Source organism: Homo sapiens, chromosome 7 (assembly GCF_000001405.40).
Source record: "Homo sapiens chromosome 7, GRCh38.p14 Primary Assembly".
In the NCBI taxonomy this organism is placed as follows: Eukaryota; Metazoa; Chordata; class Mammalia; order Primates; family Hominidae; genus Homo; species Homo sapiens.
In genome coordinates, this window is record NC_000007.14 from 25,518,842 (window position 1) to 25,527,801 (window position 8,960).

General features: G+C 43.5%; 1 annotated feature.

The window, feature by feature from the left end:
- Positions 1,873-3,072: an enhancer, noted in NCBI's record as "BRD4-independent group 4 enhancer chr7:25560334-25561533 (GRCh37/hg19 assembly coordinates)". NCBI's record gives its function as "activates an origin of replication core promoter dependent on BRD2, P300/CBP, MED14 and CDK7 cofactors, and independent of BRD4, by STARR-seq in HCT116 cells {active_cell/tissue: HCT116}" and the evidence as "EXISTENCE:reporter gene assay evidence [ECO:0000049][PMID:35650434]".

The following is an 8,960-nucleotide window of genomic DNA, read 5'->3' on the forward strand; positions in this document are numbered from 1 at the left end:
TGAGAAATTTCTCCCTTCTCAAGAATAACTATTTCTTCAAAATAATCTACTTTTTAAATTCTAGGAATAATATGAATCCACTGTCTGTTCAGGCTTTCATCTTTAAGCTAGTAATGAAAGATGCTCTGAGCTAAATTTGTGCTCCCCCTCCCTACACCAAGGTCATTTATAGGACTCAATGGCACATATTCTGTGTATTTCTTTCTGCATGTATTTCCCCTTGTATCCTTCCCATTTTGATCTTATGACCTGTAATTTTTATATCAATTTTGGAATGCGATGGGATAAAAATTAACAAAATGTGAAAGTTTCACTTTCATAGACATATTTTTAAAAATCCTCCCCCCATTACATTTCTGGGGGAAGGAAAAGCCCCCACCCCAACCCTCCAGGTACTTCCAGCAGCATTAAGGCCAAGTGGGTACAGGCAGAGAAGAGCTGCTGAGCTTGTTACAGGGAAAAGAGGGAGAGCAGGGCATCCCAAAGAAGAGCCTGGTGCCTCCTGAGCAACACGAGAGTAGGAGCCGTGTGGTATTCAGTCTTGTGTTCCCATCCCTAACAGTTTCTGGCACATAGTAAGTGCTCAAGAAAAGCTTGATGCATTAAACTGCATGCTTTATTTAGAAGGGATCTACTCTGCAAAACCCAAACAAAGTGCAGTGTGGGAGGAAACCTAGCTTCCTCTCAAGTGAACTCCCCATCTCCACTCACACTCATAAGGTCTCCCATAGAGACTTAGCAGCTTAGTAACTTGCAAATAGCAACAGGCTTGGCCTTCCCAGTCGATGACTAAAAAAGCAAGATTTGGGCTGGGCGCGGTGGCTCACGCCTGTAGTCCCAGCACTTTGGGAGGCCGAGGCCAGCGGATCATGAGGTCAGGTGATCAAGACCATCCTGGCTAACATGGAAACCTGTCTCTACTAAAAATATAAAAAATTAGCTGGGCGTGGTGGTGTGAGCCTGTAGTCCCAGCTACTCAGGAGGCTGAGGCAGGAGAATGGCGTGAACCTGGGAGGCAGAGGTTGCAGTGAGCCAAGATTGCGCCACTGCACTCCAGCCTGGGAAACAGATCAAGACGTCGCAAAAGCAAGCAAGCAAACAAACAAACAAAAAAACCAACCAAACAAAAAAACCAACCAAACAAAAAAAGCAAGCTTTGAGAGTGCAGACTTCAGTTACCAAACTATTAACCGAAAGGATGGTTCATAACCTTTTCAGTCATCTGTAGACCCATGAGGGTGATTAATTGGAACCATCCAGCCATGTCGGAATTGTTTTTCATGTCAAATTTGAAGGTAGCCCCCACTTCCTGCCATTGAAAACTGCAGCCAGAAGGTCTCTTTCAGGAGACTTCCTGTCTGTATTTCCCCAAGATGATGAAGGAAGGATCAGAAAACAAGCTCAACTCTTCACCAGCTGACTTCAAACACACTCAATCTCCGCTCACTGGAGTCTGAAGAATTCAGCTGCTTAAGTACAGTCAGAGGTCACTGCAAATCAGCAATCTTTGCACGGGCACCTTCCAGGCCGGCTGCTCCTGGCAGATGTCCACATCCATCCAAACAGATCTGCAGACAATGTGAATGACATCTCCCGTTGCCCTTTAAAATGCTTTGGTACTAGAGCTCTTAGCATCCCTGTTGTAAGCCACTCAGGTACATAAGAGTCAGTCAGCAGTTCCAATTAGAGGATCGGAAAAGAAATGGGTAAGTCTTCTCCCAGATGGCTCTGGTATAAGGAGTGAGCGGCATGGATTGCACTAATAGATTTTGCCCAATCTCTAGACAAGGAGCCAAACAAGCACAAAGCACCCATTAAAGGGCGAGCCTGCTTTACAACTCCCAGCTTCCTCATCAAGGCCGTTCGGCCACACATCAACTCTGGAGCCAATTTGGTTGCTGAGCTCCTACCCTTTATTTTATCACCAGCAAACAAGGCCCAAGGTGAGCCAGTGAAATTATCTTCAGCCCATTATCAGAATCCTGCTGTTCTCCCACTGGGTCCTCCACTTTGCAAGATTTCCATGAGGCGACTCCCAGAGATGATTTGAGCAGCCATGCCAATTAGCCATGACCTTCAGCCCTAGCAATGCAGAGGGTAATGCTGTGGGTAAGGGGGAAAATGGTTTATTAGAATGGAAAACACATCTCGCTGCACAATTGGTGTCTCTTTGGGGCAGTTAGTACTCATATAAATAGAAAGCTTACATCCTAGGATGAAAGAGTAAATAGGTCCCGAAATGGCGACTCATGCCCTCTCCCTAATTCAGTCACCAGGATCTTGCCTCCTTAACTCTTCTTGGGGAAGGAAGGACAAAAAGGAAAATAAAAAATCACTGAGAAGTATATTTTTTAGCTATTCTATGTAACAAACCTCTTAAAATGTTGTCACTTTACTCAATGGCCATTTGTTCTCTCTCCCAAGCCTAAGGGTGGGGCAAGTGGTTTTGTGGGTGGTCCTGGCTTGGTAGATCTCAGCTGGGCCTGCTCACGCTTCTGCAGTCACCTGCTGGGCTGGTTGGGGCCTCACTGATCTAGAATAGTCTCACCTGGGATGACTCAGCGACTTCCCCTTGGCAGGATTCTAGGGGAGAGTGGAACCAATGGCTGGGCTGGAACCTGCATGCCAGCACCTCCCCCACATGCTGTTGGTCAAGCCAGATTCAAGAGATGGGGAAACAGACTCCGCCTCTGGATGCCGCAAAGTCCCACGGCAAAGGGCAGGAATATAGAGGTGAGTGGAGAATTGGAATCATCATGATGCATCGGTAATGAGAGGAGAAGGCAGTGGGAGAAGTAATTTGGGGGGAAAAGAGGAACAGGCTCAATCTAAAAGAATGGGATTGCTCCTCACTTCGGTTGCCCCTGCCCTCTCTTCAGCCCTCTCCTCAAGTATAGGAAGGTTTAATACCATTTGTCTAGAAAAAAATTGATCTGATCTGGTCTGATGACTCTGGTGAGCCTCCTACTTCTCTCTGTGGAGTGCCATTGGCTTCTCTGAGGTATTGGGCACACATCTGAGTAGGCAGCTTTGAGACCAGCAAGTCAGCAGGGCTCCTAAGGCCAGGAGCGATGTCTCAGCCTCCAGCAGCACCCAGGCCACTTTGTCAGAGGAATCGGAGGGCAAGGAGGAGAATCTTAGCATCACCCTATAAGATCAGGGCCCTGCTTACCTGTCCTATGCCATCATTTGCCATTTCTCCTCATACACACCCACTCCCTGGCATACTGAGCTACCTTCATTTCCTGAAATTGTGGTGAAAAGAGCCTCATGTCTTTGCACACTCACTCCTTGTGCTGAGAATGCCTCTCCCCACCCAGACAACTCCCTTCCCAGTTCAGGGTGAGGGTCACACCTATAGGTGGCTCCCCACTGTGCTTCCAGACTCACCTCCACCAAAACAGTCATCACTCCACTGCAATTGTTTACTTTCTGTCTTCCTTGTGATTTTTGTCAGTTCCTCTAGCGCAAGAGCCAAGTCTTTAGTTTCCATATTCCCAGGACTTAAGGCAGAGCCAGGCACATAGAAGAGCTTAATCAACAAGGCTCCATGTTCTCCTTGGGGAACACTATAACTTTTCTTTATGGAGTAAGTGGAGGTTTGTAAAATTCTCACTTTACTTTCCTTTCACCTCTGGAGCAAAGAAGACTTGTTTCATTCTAATTTGGCCTTGGGGCAGATTTTACCTAATTTACCTAAAATCAACTGGCTCTTAGGTGGCAGAGCAAGAATCGAAACTTCAGTCTTCCAAGACTTGGCCCAGTGTCTTTTCTCTTTAACTTCAGGTTTTAAAAATACTTATTTATGTTTCAGTGCTCTTACTTATACCAAAAGTATTCAACAGATACTTAAGGGCCTACCTGATATGTCAGGGGCTGTTTACGGAGCTAAGGAGACAGTGATATGTAAGACAGACCAAGTAAGGAGTCAGAAAATAAACATCAATTCTTTATTCCTTCAAAAATGAAATACTCAGATAGTGTTCACTATGTGCCAGGCACTCTTTTCTATGCCTTTCACTTGCAGATGAAGAAACTGAAACACAGAGAGGTAAAATAATTTGCCCAAGTTCACACACCCACTTCCTGGTAAAGCAGGAAGATGAACACAGTCTGATTCTGAGTCTGTGCTTATAACCACTCCCCAGGCTGCCCAAGATAAACTGTTTTTAAATGAGGTATGATATTGGAAAATATATATTCATCTTTGTCCAGTTTACTGGCATACAACTTCTAAAATGCTTAAATCTTCAAACTGTGTCTTTTTCATGTGTGTGCTAATGAGTTGACTGAATGAGTTGACTGGTGGCTGGCAGACCCTAAGTAGTTTCAAGATGGGGACTGGTCACCAGGAAGACAAGGCATGATTGTAGGGTTGGGACTTTCAGCCCCCATCATCAATGGCCAATGATTTAATAGGGAAATCTTCCATAAAAGCAGAAGAGGACAAGAGTTCAGATGAGCTTCCAGGTAGCTGAACATCTAGAGTTTCCTGGAGAGTGGGAAGCCCAGAAAGCTCTTGGAAACTTTGTGATCTCTCCTCCATACCTCATCCTATGCATCTCTTCATCTGTATCCTTTGTAATATCCTTTATAATAAACCAGTAAACATGTTTCCCTGAGTTCTGTGAGCTGCTAGAGCAAGTTAATCAAACCTGAGGAGGAGGTCATCTAATTCCTGATTTATACCAGTCGGGCAGAAGCACAAGCAAAACAACCTGGGGCTTGTGACTGTCATCTGAAGTGGGGGGCAGTCTTATGAGACTGAGCCCCAAATTGTGTGATCTGACATTATCTCCAGGTAGATGGTGTCTGAATTGAATTGGATTGAAGGATACCCACCTAGTGTTCACTGTAGACTCTACATCATTACTTGCTTGCTTGCTGTTGGGGAGAAATCCCCACACATCTGGTGTCAGAAGCGTGTTGTGAGAGTATAGAGGAAACATGGTTTGTTTTTCTAATCATTAGGTCATAAGAAATATTCCAAGATAAGTGAAGCAGTGGCGTGGGGGTAATGGGGGAGGTAGTAGAGACAGAGAATCCTGCTTTAGACAGGGTGGACAGAAAAGGCCTCTCTGAAGAGCTGGCATTGAATCAGAGGCCTGAGCAAAGGGAAGGGGGGAGCCTTGTTGGAGAAGAGCATTGCAGCAAGAGGGAACAGCATGTGCAAAGGCCCTGGGATGGAAAAGTCCTTGGTGAGTACAAGGAACAGCCAGGAGGCTGGTGTGAACAAGGAGAAGAATTATGAAAGATGCACTGAGAGAGGCGACCAAGGGCAAATGAGAGAGGAGTGGCTTCTTTGGACATACTGAAGAGTTTGGATTTTATTCTCAGTACAATTTGTGGTAGTTTACATAATGACAAATGACATAAAGGGTAAAAACAAAATTAAATAAGTGAAAAAGAGTGGGTATGGAGGATTGGGATAAAGGTAGAAAAACAGAGCAATACCAAGGGTAAGGTTAGATATAAAATGCAGGTCTTATATTACGTCGTGTATTTTGCCACCAGCATCAGGCTGCAAATTTGAACACGAGCTTCCACATGGTCATCACAAAGAGGGAAATACAGACAGCTTCGTGGCTCATAATTTCAAAAGATAAAAAGAAAGATGTCATTTAGAAGCACACCTGTTCCTAGTACTCAGTCCTTGGAGGATTCTCTTGCTGACTGAAAAGTAAGTTGGAATCTGGAACTGATCAAAAGGAAAATTAAGGCATTTTATAACTAGACAGAGATATTTTGTAACTACACTGAGCCATACAAAGTTTGAATGGTTTGTGCATGCTGAGAACATTGAAACTGAATATTAAAATCTTTCTATGTTTCTTCATATACAGAAATTTCAGTCCACACAATTTGCAAAGCCCACATTGTGAGGCTCAGATCATATCCATAATGATAGAATGGCCCAAGAAATGGTTGATTCAGTGGTTTAGGCTGATCTGAGGGTGGGTGTGGGGGCTGCATAGTCAGTCTTCTTCTTACATTGTCTTTATGATGGTCCAGAAAAAGAAACTGATCACATGATGTCCACTTAGAGGAGAGGCAGAGCAAGGGGTTTATTATTGCTGGGCTATGAGATGAGAGAGGAATCTGCTCTATTACTGTATTCTCTCGACGATAGTTATTAACAACTACTTTTTTCTCTGCTTACTAGAAAATGGAGTAAACCCGCAGATTGGTTAAGGAAGTCATGAGGGGGAAGTCTCTCCACTAATCTGAGCACTCATTTATACTAATAACAGCTCCTTATAGTAAGCACTTACTCCATGCAGTCAGGTTCGATTCCTTTCCACACATTGCCTAAATAAAGCATATTACCTTTGGGAGGCGGCAATTGGTCTAGCCGGTGGCAAGCAGTGATGGGATTTAATGGGATATGCAGCCTCACAAGCCTCAGGTGGTGTGTTTTAATCAAGTCCCAAAGTGTAGATGATATAATAGAACATTGGGAAAACATTCAAGTTGTTCAGGCTATTTGAAAACTACATTATAATCTCTAACACCAGAGCTCTAACGGTCCCTAGGGGTTAAGGAAAGGCCAAGGCTGAAGAGGAAGAACCTAGATCATGCACAGAAGTAATCAATGATGAAGATTCCAAGAAACAGAGAAAGATAACATGGGGACATGAACAAACTCATACTCTTGATCCAATCCTCTTCAGCCCTCTGGATCCTTTGCACTGTTTGAGTCCTTGGTTCCTCCTTCATGTAACTTTGCTTTTGTCATGGAAGAGAGGGACTGAGAAAACACCTCTGGGTTTGCTGTTAGAAAGACATGGTGCCTTTCTGAAGGGTGATGACAGGAGCAGGAGAGGCAGGAACCAGACTTTGAGTGAGCAGATGGTGAGATGGGAAGCATGGAGAACTCACCAAGAAAGTGGCAACAACAGGAGAGAAATAACATAGCAGTCTGAGGATACAGTGGGGCCAAGAGCTGTCCTTTTTCCAAGATAGAGGAGACCTGCTGTGCATGTTCCGAAGGAAGGGTTTGAGGCTACAAAGGCTGGGGTCAAGAAGGAATGGGCAGTTATCTTTGGGGTTAGTTCTGGAAGGGAAACAAGACACTTCTGAGACAGGTTGATAGAAGGGGGCACAAGAGTCTCTATTTTGAGATGGAAGGAACATCTGCAGTCCACGTGGCCTCATAACTCTCAAGAGGAATGTGGTAGGGCAATCACACATTTCTAGGAAAGAAAGAACTGGGGCTGGAGGGAAAGGGGAAAGGACCAGGGTGGCTTCTGTCACATCCTACAGGCTCTTAGAACTAGCTATGCAGGGAACAGGTTCTCAGTATGGATGTCTGGAATTATCCTGGGTAGTGTCGGGAAAATAAGAATAAAACCCAAGGCTGGCTGGGTGTAGAAGCAGGTTTTCTCTGCTCAGGACTCAGGTGCAAAGACAGTGAGGGGGAAAAACAGTTCTAAGCAGATTTAGGAAAGACCTAACAAATATAAGATCCAGTCAAAAGCAAATATAGGAAAAGTATGTTTCTAAATCTTCTAGCTATTCAAGCATATGATGTATTTCCTCCGATAATTGATTTAATCTTCCATAAAAATACTATTTCTCACTCAATCACTTCTTTCCATGCTTCCACATTTATTAAGTGCCATTGGACCATAGCATGTGCCAGAGACTATTTCTAATAATATTTCTACATGTGGAGGGCACTTTCCTTCTAATTCAATTTCGTGTTTCACATGAAAGCCCTTAAGAGACAATAGGAAGGGAAGTGTGTCCAGCTCCACTTGATGAATGAGGAAACAAACTAAAGATGGACTCAGGAAAGTGACTTTTTTTTTAGGGGGACAAGGTCTCGTACTGTGTCACCCAGGCTGGAGTCCGGTGGTGCAATCTTAGCTTACTGCAACCTCTGCCTCTCAGGTTCAAGTGATCCTCCCACCTCGGCCTCCTGAGTAGCTGGGACCACAGACACATGTCACCACACTCAGCTAATTTTTGTATTTTTTTGTAAAGACAGGGTTAGGAAAGTGACTTCTAACCCCTAGAATTGTAAATGCTCCCCAGTCCAGACCTTTCTTTTCATGGCTGTATCATAGTCATCATTATTTACTTGTGTAATGATTTACTTCAAGTCTGCCTTTCCTGCTGGATTGTAGCTTCATGCAGGCAGACTGAGGGTCTTGTTCCCTGTTATCTTTCCAGCGGGTCACATTTACCACTGAATCCTCACTGTCTACACGCGTAGTTGATAGGCAATAGATTTGCTGGTGGGGTTCTTCCTGGTCTTTCTTGCACAAAGCCATTTTTTGAAAGAAATTACAACTTAAAACTATATGAATTAAGATTCTTGAATTTTTAACATTTCCCCTCAATATGTTACCATGATCTGGTCCAAATTTATTTGTGCAGCACTTTTTTTCAGGAACTCACTTTATCAGATCTTCCCAAATCATGCAACTCTATTTTTATGGAGACGACTCTCTGCCTCTTCACTCTCATAGCTCATCAGTCTTATATTAATTAAATAAAATTATTATAAACATTAATATTAACATAAATTAACCAAGTACAACTGCTATAAATAAATTTAGGAATAACTACCCCTGACTCTTGGTAAGTGCACTACACAGCTAGTAGGAAAAAGGCACCCGGGCATATTAGAGCAATATCTTTCGAACTATTTGACTGCAGATCCACAGAAAGGCATTTCTTATTGCAGCCTAATACATCCACATAAATACTCACATACAAACATGCATACTCATAAAAATGCAAACACACCTGTGCCCCTCAAACATAATTTTTAGAAAACACAGCTTATCCTTACAACATGTGATGCATGCTTTTCTTCTATTTTACATTTTTAAAAATTCTGGTGCAACCTTCTAACGTGTTTTCATGATCCACTCATGGATCTCAATGTGCAGTTTGCAAAGTGTTACTAGAGAGTAACTTTGGAGTCAAGAGTATCCTCCAAAGTTACCCTC